The following is a 21,493-nucleotide window of genomic DNA, read 5'->3' as shown; positions in this document are numbered from 1 at the left end:
GAGGAGAAGAGAAGGAGAAGGAGAAGAGGAAGGTATATAGTAGCCATGGCTATTCAGTTGTAAATTGTACAAACCAAAGCAGACTGTTTTCTAAATCCCGCCTCATAATCAGGCAGGCGTGCTTTGCTTTGGGAATCAGGGAATGCTCTTTGCACGAGCGTCACTTCTCTCTTGCTTTTTCTTTTACAATCGCCTGAAATTTGGATGATGCAGGTCAGTTCTTACTTTCTGATCTGGGAACACTTGAGTCCAGAAAGTTCCTCTAAAAATATCTGTGCATTCTAGAGGGACAAGAGCTCATTAAGTGAGATTCAACGTAATGTTCCTACTACCATGACTGGCAAGCAACAAAGGCTCCGTCCAAGCATGTAAGCACACATACATAGACACTCACACACACATATGCACATGAACACACATGTAAGCATGCACCAATACATGGAAAAGACACAAAAAACACACAAACAGGAAAGTACACAAACATGCACGTATGAACATAAACCTACATGGAAACCCACAAACACACATTTAAACACACATGACACACAAACACATGAGACACAAGCATGCACATATAAGCATGCATATAACTATACAAACACATAACATACATGACGGCACACACAAACACGTGAGGGCACAGGCACACGTGTAAGTGTGCAGGTCAACACACATTTAATCATGCAAGCACATATAGCTGCACATATGACATCACATAAACACGTGTGTAAACATACATGAAAACACACACACAGATAATGTGCGCGGCCATGAACAATCATCACTGCTCGTGGGAAACTCTGTGCTTCCTTACTTTATTAAGTAGTTACCCTCTACTGTGTACCAGACACACTTGTGGGATTTGGGGATCCCACAGTCAAATCATCAGCCAAACCCCGTGCAGCCATTGTGCTTATGCTCTAGCGGGACGCTGAAGAAGCTAATGAGGAAGCAGCATCCACAGTCTGCCCAGGGAGTGGGGCTGGGGCTGCAAACACAGCCAGTGAGTGGCTGGGCATGGACAGTGGTGGTCTCCTGGGGCCCAGCTGGGGAAAGCCTGTTGGAGCAGAAGCCTGGCAAGCCCGGTGCTGCTCCTGGGGAGAAGAGCAAGAAGAGCATGGAGGGCCCCTGGGATTGAGAACTGGGGGCTGATCTTCGTGGACTCAGGTGCTTCCTGTGGGGCCTGATTAGAGAGGGCACTCGAGAGTGTAAGGTGAGGACCTGGGAGGCCTTGTGGACACCTCGTTAAGGGACATTTGCTGTGAGTGTGGAGGCAGAGAAATGGGCTGGGGGAGGGAATTTGGAGGCAAGGCGGGGTCATTCTGTGTGTTCTGAGAGGACGGAATTAGCCGGGGGGGCACAGCAGGTGGGGACACTCCTAGAAAGGAGACGCCTGGCGATGAAGGGCTGGGACAGTGGCCAGCGAGTCCCTGAGCCCGGGGGTCACCAAGAAGAAGGCCCCAGCCTGGGTGCCCGTGAGGAAGGCAGGGTACACAGTCCTCAGGGGTGTGGGGGGGTGGGCATTTGTGAAAGTGTTTTTTGTTCTTTGTGTTTTTTCCTGAAAAATAATAGGGTATCATATTTGCTAAAGTCTTAGCTAGACTTAGGCAGGACGCATAAAAGCTATTAAATTTTGACAACATAAACACGGTCCTGTCCACGGTTACAAGTGCAGTGGACGGCAGGGAGAACTTTGGTGGGGATGTTGGAGTTGAAGAATGAAAGAGGAAACAAGAAAAAGTGTTTGCTTGCTCCCCTGGCTCTCAAGCCCCCCTAATCCCTGGGAGAAGTGTGAGGGGACTTAGAATTTCAGTGAAGGTTTATCCAGGGCACACAGCACTTGAGACCCAGAAGAGTGCGGCCAAATCTGCCAGAACTGATTTCAGATGGGAAGAAAGCTCCCATTCAGGGCTGCCTGTGGTACTGGACACATCAGAGGCTCCCAAGAAACAGATGAGCTAGGATTTTCTATTCCCGTTTTTCAGATGAGGAAACCAGGGTCAGAGTTCAGAAATACCAGAGGCAATAATTGTCCCTTAATTCTGAAATAAAGATTAAAACAATCCATCCTAGGTTGTCTGTCATAATAACAAAAGAATTGAGCTTAAAGTTTGCTAGATTAACTTAAATTAAAGCAAGATTATATTATACCTTGCTTTTATGATCAGAAAATCCATCTGATGATTAAATTTATATATAGTGATATATGAAAAGTAATGACATATCATATATGAAAAATCATATAAAAATAATTTACATATAAATAATATATAATATCATTGACTAATTTAAGATATTTTCCATGAAATATGTAAAACTTCACATTAAAAAATAAACTATTTAACAAATCTTTACAATTATATGACTCTGCAGCCAATCTTGAGTATTATTTTAAGATTGTGTATTACATGTAGAGAGCTAACATTATTCAATATGATAATATATCCCCGGTTTCTCCCTGCCTTTTCTTACAAGACAATATTATTAAAATTCAGACATAGCTATCAATACATCATACCCTATGACAACACGAGGTAATGGTATTCACCCAATAAGAAACGTCCCACAGGGCCTCAGGGTGCACCACCTCCCAGAGGGGTGGGGCCAGGACAAAGGCAGCCTTCACGTGCGCGCAGTGGTGATTCCATCATAAATCTCACTGTTGCAAATCATGTGACAGTCATTAAAGTGGTTTGTCCTTTATTTTTATTTTTTTTAATTTTTTTTGAGATGGAGTCTCACTCTGTCACCCAGGCTGGAGTGCAGTGGCATGATCTTGGCTCACTGCAACCTCTGCCTCCCAGGTTCAAGCAATTCTCCTGCCTCAGCCTCCTCAGTAGCTGGGACAACAGGCACGCACCACCACACCTGGCTAATTTTTTTTTTTTTAATTTTTAATAGAGACAGGGTTTCACCATGTTGGCCAGGATGGTCTCTATCTCCTGACCTTGTGATCCGCCCACCTCAGCTTCCCAAAGTGCTGGGATTACAGGCGTGAGCCACCATGTCTGGCCAGTGGTTTGTCTTTTTAAGGAACAATACATGAAGAAAAACTAAGCAAAACATTTATTTCATAAATCTTCATAGAGAAAGCCACACGCTTACTTAAGAATTATAATTTTCCAAATATACCTCATTGATGCAACCAAATGGGGACAAAGCAAGGAGCTTTGGAAAAGTGGGGGCACCAGGATGGTTGCCCTTTACACCAAAATAAAACAATTTTAGTTAAGGAGCTTTCCATTTCTGAAAGGGGGGATCTGATATAGGTTTTCACATTGCACGCGTGCGTGGTACCATGTTTCTCTCCTCAACCAAAAAAAAGTGAATGAGCCACCTATAGAGTGTGCGCCTCACACAGAGCCACACGGGGTGAGACTTGGAAGAAAGCTGCATGGGTTTTCAATGATAACAGTTGCCATGGGCTAAACCAGCTACAATGTGCCATTTGCCCCCAAAAGATAGCTTATGCAGAATAAGTCCCCCTTGAAGAACATCTAACTTTTCTATATGCTGATACCAAATATCTGTTGTCTCATTTAATCCACACAAATGATCTCCAGAATTCGCAAACAGCAGCTCTGAGAAAACAATCCACCCCGGTCTTCTGCTCGTGGGTGCAGAGAAGCACAAGGGTCTGAGCCCAGGCCCATCAGACTCCAGAGGCCCAGACGTGCAGCCTCTAGAGCAGGGCCCTGCTAGGGGCACAGGGGATTGAGCCATCGGCCTGGGATGGTATGGACAGTCTGGGTGCTGAATCTCCTTGAATGCTTCAGCTGCTGTCTTACAGCACTAAAAAGACACTCCAGGAATTTGGGAACCTGGGGAAGCAACCCTGATTTCTTGGATTAAAGAGCAGAGGGATATTTTCAATAGGCTCAGAAATTTCTAGGTATATCTACCCCTAAATTATGTACATGGCTGTTGCCTATGAAATTTGCTTTTGTTGTTTTCAAATAGTAATGGTTTCATTTTTTTTTCCTGAGTACACTATAACTAAATGAATACTAGGGAAAAATCATACACACTTACGCTTCAATACACATACTCTAAACATTGTTATAACATGCTTCCTTCACGTAATAAATCACAAACATCATGTTGAGGTCAAATATACATCTATATCACTAATTTGATAGTTGCCTATCATTTCATCCAGTAGCCAACATGTGTAATTTTTTCTTTTCTCCGGTGTTTTACTATTATGGACAGCACTGAGGGAAACAAATTGGTGCCTGTATTTGTGTGCATTCTCTGAATATTGACTTAGATTCAAGTCTCCCTAGAGGAATTGTTGGATCAAGGAATATAAGCATGTATAAAGGTTTTAAAGCACAAGGAAAATTTCTCAAAATATAATGCTACTCTAGTTTGGGTGTGGTGGCTCACACCTATAATCCCAGTGATTTAGGAGGCTGAGGCAGGAGGATTGCTTGAAGCAAGATGTTGGAGACCAACCGGGACAACATAGTAAGAGCTTGTCTCATAAAAAAATATGTTATGCTTAAGGTTGTAAGGTTGCCCAATGGAATATAAAAACAAAGAAACAGAGCCAGTGGAACATAATGGGATGTGTGTGAGAAAAATATATATATATAAAATAATATAATATAGTATTATCTTATATATATAAAAAAAACCCCAGGCTGCTGGGTTTTCCTGCCCTCCACCTCCAACAAACACAAGTTTGCTACATCTTCCTGAGTCCAGGCCTCCACCAATGCCCGTGTGGAACCTTTGTTAGCTTCTTTCAGGTCTTAGAGGAGGTGGATTTGTGTTAGCTTCATGCTGTCTCTTCCTAGCTTTTGTTAAAACACATTCAAAAGCATGCATGCACACACAAACACACATATCCACAAAGAAAACACTAGTCCGGGGACATGGTCTCTCTAGGGGTGGCATGTCATATGTGAATGTGAATATTATATCTGAATTATCGGAATGTAAAATTTCAAAGCTGCAAACCACCCTGCAGGAATGCTTATACCACTTGTGTCTGCACTTCCAGAGGCCTGCATCTTCTTAACCACAGCTGGGAGAGGTAAAGGTTTATGTGTCTCCTGAACTTCTTGACTTTCTCTGTCCCATGGATGGGAAGCCTCCTGCTGATGTCCGGTGGCTGAGTCTGCTGTGACTGTCAGCTTTGTGCATGCAGACAGGCCAGCTTACTGAGGGGGTTAACAGCAAGATTCAGTGGGAGATGGTCCTTCTTACTTTGTGGAAAACCCAAATGTCATAAACCACCTTTTTTTTTTCTGGGACAGTTTTGTGCAAAGAGGAATTTTCTAACATTTGCTTTAGCGTGTGTGTGTGTGTGTGTGTGTGTGCGTGCGTGCGCCTGGGTGTGTGCATGTATATGTGTATGTGCAAATGTGTATATTTGTGCACGTTTATGTGTGCGCATGTGTATATGCGTGTGTGTACGTGTGTATGTGTGTCTAGAGAGAACTTGCCACATGGGCTCCTCTGTGAGCAACCCGTTCTGCCAATAGGTGGGAGAAGAGAAGAGAGAGCTGAGGCCCTGTCTGGTCCTTACACAAGTGTTGACATCACCTGCCTGTTTCTCTGCCCCTCTGCTCTTCTCTATGCTTGGTGTTTCCAAATCCAAGCTTAATTTCTTCAGGGAATACACCTCCTGGAGGTGTGGTGCCCAAGGAGGCGACGGGACCTGGAGGGTCCATGGCTCCCTATAGGAACTTCCATAGGCTCCTGTCTTGTCCAGCACTCTGCAGGGTGAGGCATCTGCAGGCCACATACCTGCAACTTCCATCCCCCACTGGGTCCTCTAGGGCCCAGCCATGCTCTCCCCAGCATGTAAGTTCAATGAACTGTATTGGATGCAATTGCCACCTCTACTATTTTCTCTGTCCTCACATGGGTTATTTCCTTCCATTTTTCTTCCTTCATTGTAATTTGTAGTCGTGATTATGGAGCCATCAGAGATACATGGTCATGTTAAACCCACCAAATTTAATTTTTATATAGAAAGAGCTATCATTTTTAAGGGATGGTTGTGCCTTGGTGTTATTTTAGCTACAGGATCCTATAGATATGGCTTTGGTTAGGGTTTGGCTTGGGGTTTGAGATATGGCCCTTTTTCTGATCATGAGCAATTCTTTTGATCTCTGGAATTCTTGATTGCATTACCTTTGAAATGAGTCTGTAACAGTTTGCCCTTAGGAGGCCATTGAGAGACGAAATGAGATAATCCATGTAGAACATTCAGCCCCTTACACATGTCAAGCACTCAAGAAGGCTTAGCTAGTTTCACTTTTATAATTACAAGTACTACTACTGTAAAGACTCCAGAACTGAGTGAGAAAGCTTGTAGAAAAAATGGATTCTCATGCTCCTGAGGGTGGTGGCAAGAGACGGTGTTCTGCAGAGGCCACCACTGGACACAACAGGCATGAAGTTGCCTTCTTGTCATGTATGTGGTTGGTTCCCTGACACAGTGAAATTGTTTTCACCCTGAGTTGCTCAAAAAACCACTTAGTGCTGCAGGCTCTCCACTGGGTGTCTCTCGCTGAGGGTGTTATTCACCCAATGCTGACAATCCATGGTGACAGCCAGGGGACCGTTTTAGGTGGACCTCTGCTGCTGAGAATGCACGAAATTTATACCAAGGTTACTCCTCAAATAAAACGTGCCCTGTTAACCAGGTTTGCCTTTCTTCAAACCAAGTTTCTTACCTTTGAGATGGTGTTTATGTCTCACGCTTGGTAATTCTCATCCAGACACTTCTTTCTTAGTCATGGAGCTATTCCCTTCCTTCTTTCTGACTTTAAAAATCATTAGATATTTTAAATACTTAGTTTGATGTGGGTAAGAGGATGGAAGAGGAGAAGGAATATTTGCATTACTAACGAATGCTTTGTCTATTAAAAACCAAAGCTGCGATTGGCCTTTTTTCTTTTCTTCGATGACAAGAGTTTTGTTATGACAATGTCACTAAATTATTTGAAAAATCACATAATGAGGTATCATCAAAACTATCTTTGTCAGTTGTGATATGCAAACTAATAATTTATGTCCTTCAATTTGTTGAAGGCAAAGAAATAAAAGCTATTTGACTTAAAAATGGATGTTTTACTCAGGTAATAATTTCATTCCTTTTAATTTCTAGAAATTCAACTAGAAGGCTTTACCCAGGTATAATAAATGAATATTTTTATTGTAAGTTGACAAATTATAATTCTATATATTTGTGGTGTGCAAAGGGATGTTATGATGTGTGTGCACAATGTGGAATGATTAAATTAAACTAATTAATATATCCATCACCTCAAATACTAATCATTTTTTGTTGTAAGAACATTTAAAATTTGATATCTTAGCAACTTAAAAATGTATAATACACTACTATTAACTATAGTTACCATGTTGTGCAGATAGATCTCAGAACACTTAACATTGTTAAGTGTGCCCTTTCCTTCACATCCTCGCTTGTGATCTTCTGTCTTTTTGATAAAACAGCTGTTCTAACAGGAGTGAGGTGACATCTCATTGTAGTTTTAATCTGCATATCCCTGATGATTTGTGATGTTGAACATTTTTAAATATATCTGTTGGCTATTTATTCATCTTCTTCTGAGAATGTCTATTTGGGTCCTTTGTTCATTTTTAATGAGGTTGTTTTCTTGCTATTGAGTTGTTGGAGTTCTTCATGTATTTTGGATAGTAACCCTTTTTCAGAGCTATGGCTTGGAAATCGTTTCTCCTAATCTGTGGATTGTCCTCTTCACTGCATTCATTGCTTCCTTCACTGTGCAGGAGTCTTTTTGTTTGATGTAATACCATGTGTTTACTTTGGCTTTTGTTGCCTGAGTTTTGGGGTCAAATCCAAAAAAATCCTTGCCCAGACCACTGCCATGTAGTTTTGCCCTTGCGTTTTCCTCTCGTTGTCTTACAATTTCTAGTCTTAGGTTTGAGTCTTTCACCCATTTTGAGTTGATGTGTGTATATCAAAAATTACTGCAGCCATTATGGAAGCTGTATGGTGATTCCTTAAATAACTAAAAACAGAATGAACACATGATCTAACAATTCCACTTCTAAGTGTAGATCCAAAGATTTGAAATCTGGGCATTGAAGACACATCTGCCTTCTCATGTTTGTTGCATCAGTAATCATAGTAGTCAAGTTACGGAATCCACCCAAGAGTCCATCCACCAATGAATGGATTAAAAAATGTGGTATATGTGCACAAAAGAATACTTCTCAGCCATAAAAAGAAGGAAATCTTGTCATTTGCAGCAACGTGGATGAACTTGCAGGACACTGTGCTAAGTGAAATAAGCCAGGCACAGAAAGGCAAATACTCTCTGATCTCACTTATATGTGGAATCCAAAATAAGTTGAACTCATAGAAGTAGAGTAGAACAATGTTTATTTACCAGAGCCTGGTGGGGTAGAGGAACTGAGGAGATGTTGGCTTAATGGCTCAGTTTCAGCTGGACAGGAGAAATCAGTTTTTGAGATCCATTACTATTCACTTTTTGAAATAAAATTTTCATATGAGGGCAATTCATGAGCCATTTTTCTTGATTACCAAAATCCACTCACAATTAATCCAGATCCTTAGACACATATATGAACACTTAATTTTTGCACCCTGTTAATGATTGAAAATAAGCTTATTTTTCCATTATGTGTATACATACGCTCCCTTATTTCAATCGCTTTAGAGAATCAAGGTACCTGTGATTATAACAACGATAAATTTAAAAATTGAAATTCAGGACCATGACGTGAAAGTGGTTGTAAACTGTCACATGACTTGAGTTAACTTCCTGGCCTTTCTACTTGCCTTGGAAATTTTCTTAGTTTCTCTGGGTCTCAGTTTTCTAATCTGTGAAACAGGGATCTAGTTCATTGGCTGTGGGAAGAATAAATCAGATTCTATTCTACATTGTGCAGCACATTGCCTGGCACGTAGAAAGCAGCAAATACAGATTTCTACTTTCTCCTCTGCTTTATAACAATAATACTAAACATATTAATATTATAATAATAATGGTTATTAAAACGAAAGTTGAAATGCAATAAAATAATAAATAAAAAAATTGTCCTTGAGTTCTGGAGACATATGAAATTAATTTTATGGAATCAAAGAATGTACCCTAAAGCAGGGGTCCCTGTCTCCCATCACCCCCAGATGGGAGCATCTAGTTGCAGGAACATAAGCTCAGGGCTCCCACTGATTCTGCATTATGGTGAGTTGTATAATTATTTCATTATATATTACAATATAATAATAGAAATAAAGTGCATGATAAATGTAATGTGCTTGAATCATCCTGAAACCATGCCCGCTCCCAGTCTGTGGAAAAATTGTCTTCCACAAAACCGGTCCCTGGTGCCAAAAATGTTGGGGACCGCTGCCTTAAAGAGATACATTCATAATCCAGAGCAGCTTAAACCATATTAGGAGAGACGTGTGAAGGGCGTAGTAAATATCACGGTCAGGAAACAATTGCTGGCTTAACATATCATCCCTAAATGGAAATTCACAAGTGCACGGGCTCCTGATTTCAGGATGTGGTATGAAGTGTTCTTCTGTGTTTCATATTTCAGGATGAGACACTTATGGAGACAGTAATGATGATTTAATATTATTTAATGATTTTCCTGAGCAATGCTAAGAGGGCCAAGTAGTTGTTTAGTAAATTGAAAGTCATGAGAAAGGTCCCTCATTTTCCTAAAATTTATGACGTTTATATTTCTGTGCTCATTGATTTGTTTGCTCCACAAACACTCACTAACCAGCTTCTGCATGCGTGGTTCTACCTGACATCATGACGTTTTGCTTGATCATCACACACTCTGCAACCTCCAGGAGTTACAAAGCTGACCTAGGGTCACCTCCTGGTACAGAGAAGGTTGATTCTTCTGCAGATTTTCTGACTCTACATTCATTGTTCTTTCTAATAGAAGACAGTTATGCCTTAATGTGGTTGTATATTTTAAATTTCAAGTTTGGAGGCAGCAAAAGAAACAAAATATTTTAAAATCTTCCTTCTTTCCAAATCCCATTTTATAATTTTGTTTGCTGTTTCTTATCTGAAATCCATCTGATAAGTACTTGTTAGAGTAATGCTAATCTTACACCAATCTATGAACTGTTCAAAAAATTTTGGCCGGGCGCGGTGGCTCACGCCTGTAATCCCAGCACTTTGGGAGGCCGAGGCGGGCGGATCACGAGGTCAGGAGATCGAGACCATCCTGGCTAACACGGTGAAACCCCGTCTCTACTAAAAATACAAAAAATTAGCCGGGCTTGGTAGCGGGCGCCTGTAGTCCCAGCTACTCGGGAGGCTGAGGCAGGAGAATGGCGTGAACCCCAGGGGGCGGAGCCTGCAGTGAGCCGAGATTGCGCCACTGCACTCCAGCCTGGGCGACAGCGAGACTCCGTCTCAAAAAAAAACAAAAAAAAAAAAAACAAAAAAAAAATTTTGTTGTTTTCTAAGTTCCCATAACACACATCTCACACATCTTTAATAATAGTGAAAGAGCTTGGAAACATGATTCTGTAAAATTAAAAGCACTTGATACCTAAAAAGCATTATAAAGTAAATTTAAAATGATCTTCCGAAGAATAACAAAGGTTTCAGGGGAAACATGAATTCTAAATGGCCTTCTATTTATCACTGAACACACAAGACATAGGACAAGCCCTAAATACAAAAATAATCAGACACTTCAGCTTTACCATAGCCAGTAATGAAAAAGCTGCCAATAACATCTTCCTCTGCAGCTGATTTAGTAAAACTTTATGAAGAGAATAAATTTTATGTTTTAGTATACATGACAAGTATGTTCTAGATGCTAAAAAGGAAGACAAACAGAGATCAATGTCCTCCAACATATACCTGGATTGCATCAGCTTCCAGTTATGATCTTGTCTGGGGGGGAAGAGAAAAGAACAATGGTAATTCCTGGTCTTGATGTCAAAGAATGGACAAACCATTTCAATTCCAAAGAGAAATACTTACAGATGTACTGTGCAAAATCTTTCTGCATTTGATAAACACTCTGTAATGGTTGGCAGAAATCATCTATCTTGTGGATTATATATCCAGCACAAGGCAAACTCACTAAGAGGGTTATGCAAACAAGAATAAGGTTTCTTAATGGCTGTGTTCATTTTGATCTCTGAGATTATAAGCCAATTCCACTTTACAGCTGTACTGCTACATAGCACTCCATTTGAATTTTGCCCTAAGATAATCCTTAAACACAGTTTCAAAGCACCTTGCATCCAAATATAGACTGGAGGTTGAATAGCCCAAGATGGCAAGCAGGTCCTGTTGTGAATGATGACAAATGTAGAAATGGCACCATAGAAATGTTGAGCTCAACTGAGCCTTGGAGATTCAGCCTCTTCATGTCACAGGTGTGAACACGGAGAGAGGCAGAGTGGAATGTGAGCTCACCCTGCTGGCTTGAGGTTGAACTCTTTATTCACAACCCAGGACTCTTCGTGGGGGAACACTGGCTTTCACCCATGGTACAATTATCTGATTGGAAGTGTAAAAATCTAGGGACAAAAAGAAAATAAAATACAGACTAATCTAAATTAGTTTGCTGAGATAGCGGCTGGTCTTTGCTGACCACCAAGTTAATTATGACAGTTACCCTTCACCAAAGGCATGGGCTTGTCCTCCACCAGGTTTCTCCAGCAGAATTTGTCCTGAAAATCCAGGAAATTAATTATTGGGAAACACACATTTGCCCCCATATTCTATGTAATTTGAGTAAAAGTGGATGTGAATCTGGAAAAATAATCTGGTTGTGTTTTTAATGCATTAGATGAAGTTGTATTGGCAATGTCAGTAGAAAGCAAAGGTTGTCGGAAGCATAAAGTATGTATTTTATGTTTATAAACATTAGAGAGTTAAATATAAGTACAGTAGAATGTCTTCAAAGATTTCTTAATTCCTATATTAATGAAAGTGTTTCTCATGCTATGGGGCAGCACAGAGAGAATGTAGCTGGGTTCAGTGTTCCTGTGGACTCTGTTGGGTATTGCCAGGTTTCACTGCCTCGAGTCCCTTTTGGAACCAGGTGGAACTGCGAGTCACTCACCATAGGGCACAAAAGGCCTGTTCTTCAATGCCAAAAAAAAAAAACCACCAGTATTATTCATCAGTAGTGAGTTTATGAAAATTACTCTTACCTTAGAATCGTGTAGTATTAGAATTGGACAATCTCAAGGGATCAGTTAGTTCTCATTTTGGAGAAAAGCATACAAACCTCCAGGTGGCTACCAGACATTCCACATTCACCGAATGACTAGCAGAAACCTGGCCGGTGTGTAGCTCACCGAGAGAAGGTCAGGCTGCTTGATGGAAATGCCGTATTTCTCTAGATAGGTGCCTGTAGCCTAACCAGACATAAGCAAGCAGAGTTGAAAGTAACTGAACAGATAACCATGGTTTGGGAGGAGGCTGTGGAATTTAAAGGGGCAAATGGATGGTGACTGTTGCTGAATTAGCTCCCATAGTACGTCAGACTGAAGACTGAGGGGATGACTAAAGCTTGGCATGAAAGCTAAGATCTGTGCAGCCGATCAGCTAGGTGTAAAAGAAAGACAAGTTCCATAATGTTATTTTTTAGTTTGTTAACTGTAAATTGATGTTTAATACATTGGAGGTGCAATAGATGACATTATTATTTGTTATCCTAAATCATCATAATGTTGTTTGCAAGGTGCACACACGGAGCTCCCACTTTCCAATAATTTTCTCATTCAGTTCTGACTAAACTTATGGCTTAAGCTCTATCCACCCAATATGGCACCAATTTTCAGAAGCCACAAGACGAATTGGAGACTCAGGACTCAAATTCAGGTCATCATAACACCAAAGCATGCATCTGTAATATAGATATTATTCTATAGTATTTATATAGCATCTACTATCCTAATATCTAGCGAAAATCACGTGTCAGAAGTATCTGGGCAGCATTAGTACTCAACCTGTGCTTTAACTAATAATAGTGGCACTCACAATTTCATGCCCACCATGAATATATTTGCCTTCTAAGGGATGATGGCCTCATGTACATACAACACCCATAATATATATGTATATATATATAAAATACATATACATATATGTTAGAGAGAGAGAGAGAGAGCGTCTCACTTTCTTGCCCAGGCTGAAATGCAGTGGTGTAATCATAGCTCACTGCAGCCTTGAAACTCCCAGGCTCTAGTGATCCTCCCACCTCAGCCTCCCGAGTAGCTGGGACTCCAGGCATGCACTACGGGGTCTCACTATGTTGTATAGGTTGGTCTCAAACTCCTGGGCTCAAGCAATCTTCCCACCTCAGCCTTTTGACATGCTGGGATTACAAGCATGAGCCACTGCACCCAGCCAGCCACGCATACTTTTGAAATAATTTTATTTTTCGAGATTTGCCGACACAGATTCAAGAATGCATTTATGATTCCGGGTAAAGGGCAAAACTAATGCAGTCTTGAGATCTATTTTTCTGCAAATCTTGGGGAAAAAGCTATTTATGCATTTACACTGTCATCGATCGATAGTGAAAACTACTCTGCTATGAGTTCAGGCTCCTCAGTTTCAAGAGGGAGTAGACAGCCACTGAGGACAGTGTGCCTGGAGCACCAGGAGTCTGCCCACCCTGCCCACTCATGCGCTGGTCTTCCCAGGTGACAGGCACAGGTCTGGCACCCCCAGTCTTGTATCTCTTACTAGAAAGGTGTCTCCTCTGCAGAAGCCCTAACCTAGTAGCATTCACTCATGCATTAGCACACCCAGTGTTGTTTATTCAGCGTGGTCTTAAAGATAAATATGCCACCCAGCTCTCACCCTACCACCAGTTAAGAAGTCAATGCCAGCACTCACGCATTTAAAACGATATGTAAATTGATGTTTTGTGTAGCGGGTGGTAGTGACCTCACAGAGCAGGGTCTGTAGGAATCGGGCTCATAGAAAGCTCCTGTGATTGGAAGATAAGCACAGGAGAAAGTCCAGGGGTGGGCACTTCCTGATTAAATGGAATAGATAAGGCGAGGGTCTAAAATGCCATCAAACGGCGAAAAGCACCCGGTTAGATGAACATCTCTGAGAGTTGCAATTAAAATGAACTTTTGGCTGAGGGACGTCCAGAGGGGAGGTCATGCTGACCCCACGTTCCGTCCTCTGGCCTGGGGACAACACTTTTGAACACGTAAGAAGAGGGTCCTGGGATGTGAGTCACGTGTGGACTTTAGAGATCCCAGTTTTGTTTCTGTATTCGCTTCAACAAATATTTCACAATAAACATTTCCAAGGACAGCCCCAGCGCCGGGCTCTGCCTGGCCTTGCAGGGTGAAGAGCAGCCTCTCATTCCCCAGGGAACAAGCGGCACTGAGGGAGTGGGTGCAAAACGGCTCTCGGTGGGGACAAAGCCTGGCCCCACCTGGACTGGAAGGCCTGAGAGTCTGTGGCTGCCTTGACCTGCCTGAGCCTCGCGGGGCCCAAATGCCTAGTTGTGAGTTCTTCTGCTTCCCGCAGGTAAGCCCCTACCCAGCTAGAGCCCTATCAGCCCGACCAGCCGCCCCCACCTCTTCCTCAGCCTGCCAGTCTGTGCAATTCTTCAAACAAGCCAGTCACGTAATCCAGTGGGCAGGAGCCAGGGGCCCCCGCCTCTTGTCATACAAAGCCTGCCCCCCACAGCCCAGCTGGCTTACCCTGCTCCCCTCCCAAGGGCAGCCCTCATGGGGTGCGGCTGGTCCTCCCCTGGGCGGAGGGCTATGGGACTCACACACTGCTGTCCATCTCCACAGCCCACGCTGGTGCAATCCATGCTCAGCCAGCAGGACTTCAGAGGAATGGAGACCCCCTCACCACTAGGTGCATAGGAGGGGATCCGTCTCCCACCCAGGGAAGGAGGTGAGGATGCTGAGAAGCTCTCTGTCTAGGACTTTGATTCCTTCATATTTCCCATCATATCTTCTCTTTGAAGGGTTTTCATCACTTCAGGGTGATCCCCAAATTGTTCTGGTCATCGCTACACTTCAAGAAAGATCTCAGAAAATAGTATAGTATCTGTAACTATAGCTCTGTCTCCTTGAAATAAATGCACATTTTTCAAATAAGCTTGTAGATATTTAGATTTCCCAGAGCACGTAACTCACGAATTACAAGTCATTCACCAAGACTGAATCTAATCGAGGTAGTTTGCAAGCAAGAAGGAACAAAGCACCCAAAACCTCATTCATGGCATCCGTCATTGCCAAGGTAGATCTCGTTCATTTCCACGCACAGTGTGCCATGTGGAACGCTGGCCACGCCATGGAACAGGTGCCTCCCGGTTGTGGAAACCTTCACCAGAGAAGGTGAGAGCCAAGGAGGGGAGACGCTTGATTTGCGTGCAGATGTGTTTTCCTTCCATTCTGTCTCCTGTGCTCTGAATAGAACAAGATCACCTAGCCTCTGAGGAGAGTGCTTTGTCTTTCTTCAAGAAGAGGACTTGGTGCTGTTTTATCCTGCTTCTAGCTGCTTCTCCGGTTAGCTTTACAGAGCTGGATTATCCGTAACAGTTCTCGTGGAAACTTTGAATACATTTGCTGACGACCTCGTGTACTCACTTCTCAATCTCAGCATCACATCTCGACATTCCAGAGTGAAGTTAATCATGCCAATTTCCAGGAGTTTGCTTCCATGTGTGGTTCAGGTAATATCTAGGTAATAGCCAGGCTTCAGATATATCCAGGTAATATAAAGCTCAGTCAATATCCAAGCTTCAGGTGTATCCAGGTAATATAAAGCTCAGGCAATATCCGAGATTCAGGTATATCCAGGTAATATAAAGCTCAGGCAACAACCAAGCTTCAGGTATATCCAGGTAATATAAAGCTCAGGCAATATCCGAGCTTCAGGTATATCCAGGTAATATAAAGCTCAGGCAATATCCAAGCTTCAGGTATATTCAGGTAACATAAAGCTCAGGCAACAACCAAGCTTCAGATATATCCAAGCAATATAAAGCTCAGGTAATATCCAAGCTTCAAGAAGCTGTGTGCTGGTTTAACTGTGCAGTGCATGTGGTGGAGCTGGGTGCCACCCCTGAAAGGTGCTTCGCGGGGCCAGTGACTCAGCACAACAAAGACCACAGCTTTCCTGGGGGAAAGATAAGAAGTCCAGGAGAGCTTTCTCTTCACTCTGTGTCTGCCAGGCACACTTCCGTGCAGATGTGGAGCTAGGGTGATGAGCTTGTCAAGGCAGAGAGAGGAGAAGTGCTCGAATCATTAGGCAGCACCCCAGTTCTCATGGGTGAACAGACTTTGATTTTACTGAGTATAATTCACATAGCATGAAATGCACCCTTCTAAAGTGTACATGTCAGTGGTCGTTAGTGTAGTAACAAGATGATGCAACTATCACCACTACCTGACTCCAGGACATTCTCGTCACCTCCAAAAGAAACCCCACGCCCCTCAGGTGCCACTGCTCACTCCCCCTTTTCCCTCCCTCAGCACCTGGCAACCACTTTAATTCATGTTCTGTCTCTGTGGATTTGCCCATCCTGGGCATTTCATTTGAGTGGGACGGTGTGGTGTGTGGACTGGGCATTTCACATGAACGGGACTGTGCAGTGAGTGGACTGGGCATTTCATATGAATAGGACTGTGAGGTGTGTGGACCTTTGTACGTGGCTTCTTTGTCCAAGCATCCTGTTTCCGAGGCTCATCGACGTTGAGTGTGGGTCAGTGCCGATGGGATATCAACTGAGAGGCGCGTTTTCCTCAGGGCTCTCTGGTGTGGGCCCCTCCTGCAGTCTGGCTCTGGTGGGGGGGACGTGGCTGGGCTCCTGCTGGACACTGTGGTGCGCTGTCTGGAGGGGTTTCCAGTGGCCGTGGGGTGCTGCTGTGCACGCCAGGGAACCCGGACCCCTCCTGGCTGCAGGGACTGAGTTGTGCATGAGCACACTGCATAGTAAGCTGATCAGTTGAATTCTTGGAGTAGTCAGCTAAACTCCTTCATACCCTAACAATAATAGCAATAATAATTTCCCCCTCTTTAACTTATTCCTACTGCAAAGTAGAGCTTACATAATAAATGATGTACTGTAGCCGCAATTTCTATTTACGGGAGTTTCAGTAAGAATGGAGATCATTTTGATTTTGGCCTACGGGGAAGGGCTCTGTGCTGAGGCGACACTGAAGGCACACGTGCTTGCTGGTTTTTACTCTCCAAACCTTGTTACAATGCAAAATTAAAATTTAGAAAAAATAGATTTTTAAGTATATTATAAATTATTTTATTCTCTCTATATAATTTGAGACTAATAAATTATACATAATAAATTATGTATACAAGTATATATATTTTAATTTAAAATAGTTTCATTAACTTATATACTGAAGTTAAATTAACTAACTTCTATGTATAATCTATTATTATTTGATACACACACATATGGAGAGTCACACATAGAAGTACTAGGAATTCAGGAAATCTTCAACTGCTAAAATTTAAGGATGAGAAAACTCTGGAAGCTTTAAAGCAGAAAAGTTCAGGTATGAAACAAAAGTCAGAAACACAGAGAAACTTACAGCTCCACAAAGGCAAAAGAAGAGGAGTTCTCCAAACGTGAATTTTTTCTTCAGAAGCCCAAACTCAGTTTCCAATACTCCAGGGAGTGCAGGGAGAGGGGCTGGAGAAAGGTGGCTCAGGGGTTCTGGACAGACACACTCAGGGCAGGGCCGGCCGGGCTGTTCAGGACCCACACAGCTCGGAGGGTGATGCTCATGGTCGGCAAACTGTCTACAGCCCCAGAAAATGCCTTCACATAGAAGGGAGGTTGTGAAGGGACTCCACTGTGTGGATGGGGTGGAGAACACCCTCTAAACCAAATCACATGTCCAGGAAACAAGTATTTGGGAATCTCCAGGAAACAGGTGTTTCGAAACCTGGAGTCAATTTTATCTGTGCGTTCTAAAAAGTATGAAATGCTACCCAGCCACCCACCCACATATCCCTTCTCTTTCCTGAATAGCCCCAAAGTATTCCCGGAAAGGGCAATGGGAACTCACATCTAAGCTGGGGAAATGAACCCTAGAGACCAATGCTGATCAATCCAGACCCTGAAATGTGAATGGGAATCAGTAACCAAGGATCAATAGCTCGCCAAGGAAAAGGAAAATTAGTAGGGTAACAGAGCGAGGGCTGTGTGTACATGTGCATACACTCACACCCACTCCTGTGCACACACTGTGCACACACCACACACATTCACACATACACAGGCCACAATTAACCATCTCTGAGAAACAGTGTTAACAAAGGAAACAAATGGAAACATTAAAAGAGCTTCATTTGTATTCTTATAGTAATTTGAGAGAGCATCACACGTGTAAAAGACAAATTGTCTTGAGAAAGAAGCTGCCAGAATCCCCAGATCCTGATATTTATGGTGATTTTTGCATTCTTCTTTATGACATCCGGGGTCTGAAATATTCTACTGTGCACATGCAATCCTTTCATTTTGGAAAATGGCATGTTTCTTTTTTTTTTTTTTTTTTGAGACGGAGTCTCGCTGTCGCCCAGGCTGGAGTGCAGTGGCGCGACCTCGGCTCACTGCAAGCTCCACCTCCCGGGTTCATGCCATTCTCCTGCCTCAGCCTCCCGAGTAGCTGGGACTACAGGCACCCGCCACCACGCCCGGCTGATTTTTTTGTATTTTTAGTAGAGACGGGGTTTCACCTATTAGCCAGGATGGTTTCGATCTCCTGACCTCGTGATCTGCCTGCCTCGGCCTCCCAAAGTGCTGGGATTACAGGCGTGAGCCACCGCGCCTGGCCTGAAAATGACGTGTTTCTTATTAAATGAAAGAATATGTCAACATAGAAGCGCTCTGTGGTTGGGTAAGTTTAGGAAAGCATCACGTTTTCAGGTCACAGAGTTTATCCCAGTATTTTATATTTTACCTACTAGTCTAGGATGTTTGGCTCATCCAGGGTTTATCTGGCTTCCTAGGGATGCCGTACCAAAGTGGAAGAGCCTGAGCAACAGGGATTTATGTTCTCACCGTTCTGGAGGCTGAGATTTCAAAGCCAAGGTGTCATCTGCTTAGCTCTTCCTAAGGGCTCTGCGGGACCACCGCCCGTTCTTGGCCCCTCTCCTTGGCTTGTGGACAGCTGTCTTCTCCCTGCGTCTCTTCACATCTTCTTCCCTCTATATTCTAAAGAGTGTCTGATAGTCCACATCTGTCTGTCCACATTTTTTTTTTTTCAGAAGAACCTCAGTCATATTGGACTAGGGCCTCCTCAGTGGCCTCATTTTAACTTGATTACCTCTGTAAAGATCTTGTCTCAAAGCAAGGGCATATTCTGAGGTACTAGGGTTTGGGATTCTAAAATATCTTTTTGAGGGGACACAATTTGACCCATAACAAGGATATTTAAATGTTGATAGAACTTTCAATTAAGTAAGAGTAGTTATGATCACATGCCAGTTCAATCATTGGCTACACTAAAGAGTTTATTTTATTTTATTCTATTTTCCTCTATTCCCCAAAGCTAGTGATTTTAGCATTATTTTCCAAACTTAGCCACTATGAGCTATGCAATAAAGCAGTGGTAAGAGGTCCATAGCCTGTGGTTGTGGCTGGTTGGAGACATGAACGACATTTATCCAAGAAAGTCACTCAAGAAGAGAGATATTTACAGTATCCTGAAGGCCTCAGCCACTTCGGAATTCATGAGAGAACAGTTGAGGCTGGTTTATTGTGGACACACTTTAATTTGGTACACCAGAAATCAAATTAGGACTTTGGTAGGCTTTGCTTCTCAGGTACTAAGGAATAAGTTATTTGTTATTGATTTATCTGCCAGATAGAGAGGATTGTTACTGCAAAACTTCACAGCACCAAGAACTTCAAGGATAAGAGTAGAGCACCGAGAATAAATGATGGATGGTGCTGAAACGAATTTGAGTATTTCCCTGAATCTTAAATATTTGGTCAGATTTCTTCAGGTTCTATTACAAAATCCTAAATACATGCTGAATCTTCTTTTATAGCCTTATCATAATTTAATATTTTAATTTATAGTAACTATACAATATTTGGCTTGGTGGCTTTTGTGAAAGAGAATGAAATAACTTACGGTTAAAACATAGTTTTTGGCTGGGCACAGTGGCTCATGTCTGTAATCCCAAACTTTGGGAGGCCGAGGTGGATGGATGACCTGAGGTCAGGAGTTCGAGGCCAGCCTGGGCAACACAGTGAAACCCTGTCTCTACTAAAAATACAAAAATTATCCTGGTGTGGTGGTGGGCGCCTGTAATCCCAGCTACCTGGGAGGGTGAGGCAGGAGAATCACTTGAATCCGGGAGAAGGAGGTTGCGGTGAGCCAAGATCATGTCACTGCACTCCAGCCTGGGTGACAGAGAGAGACTCTGTCTCAAAAAAAACAAACAAGCAAACATAATTCCTATTTTGTCTCCTCCAGTATGCAGTTCATTTTAAAACTCCTCTCTCCCCACTCCAACCATGCAGTTTGCCTGGGGATACTTGTCCAAACCATAATATCTTTTACCATCCTCAACCAAAAGGAAAGATAACACAGGTTGGGAAAATCTGGGTTCCTATTCCACTATTCTCCAATTCAAAACCCCAGAAACGATAGAAGATGGAAATATTCAGTTCTTTACAGGCAGGCATTTCTGCTCCCTTCTGAAAGTTGCAGTTTGGGCACTTGCCTTAATAAAAGTGTCTTTCTTGAGCCGGGCGCGGTGGCTCACGCCTGGAATCCCAGCACTTTGGGAGGCCGAGGCGGGCGGATCACGAGGTCAGGAGATGGAGACCATCCTGGCTAACACGGTGAAACCCCGTCTCTACTAAAAATACAAAAAATTAGCCGGGCGTGGTAGCGGGTGCCTGTAGTCCCAGCTACTCAGGAGGCTGAGGCAGGAGAATGGCGTGAACCCGGGAGGCGGAGCTTGTAGTGAGCCGAGATCGCGCCACTGCACTCCAGCCTGGACGACAGAGCGAGACTCTGTCTCAAAAAAAAAAAAAGAAAAAAAAAAGTATCTTTCTTGAAAGCTAATTTGATTTAGGCCTCCCTCACTTACAAACAAATAAGCCATTAATACAAATACAATGGACACAGTATATATGAAAAACATTACTTAAGTGGTACATTATATAAAATATCCTCAAATAACTGCACAAACTGCCTAAGAATATTGTTTCTTATATTTTAGAATTTAAAATCAAGCCAAGAGAAATTTCACAATCGTTTAATAATTTGCCCACCATGTTCCTCTCATTGTCTCAAATATTATTTTCCAATGTGACATTGGTATAACTAAGTAAAGGTCCTTAATTTCGTCATTAGACGAGCTGCTTTTTACACAGAAAGTTCTTGGATTTGATTAGATTCTGAGGGTGGCAAAGAGTTGTAAAGCAGAAAGTGACATAAATTTTCCCCAGAGGCAAAAGGAAATGGGATGTTCAAAGAGCATGAGCTTCCCTT

At 42.7% G+C, this 21,493-nt stretch overlaps 1 annotated feature.

Annotated features, from left to right (window-relative positions):
- Nucleotides 1,172-1,673: an enhancer, noted in NCBI's record as "H3K4me1 hESC enhancer chr18:75791151-75791652 (GRCh37/hg19 assembly coordinates)". NCBI's record gives its function as "activates a minimal SCP1, AML or CMV promoter by ChIP-STARR-seq in naive H9 embryonic stem cells {active_cell/tissue: H9 hESC(naive)}" and the evidence as "EXISTENCE:reporter gene assay evidence [ECO:0000049][PMID:30033119]".

This window comes from Homo sapiens, chromosome 18, assembly GCF_000001405.40.
Source record: "Homo sapiens chromosome 18, GRCh38.p14 Primary Assembly".
Taxonomy (NCBI): domain Eukaryota; kingdom Metazoa; phylum Chordata; class Mammalia; order Primates; family Hominidae; genus Homo; species Homo sapiens.
The sequence above is the reverse complement of the archived record's forward strand: the minus strand, read 5'-3'. Positions and strand labels throughout refer to the sequence as shown.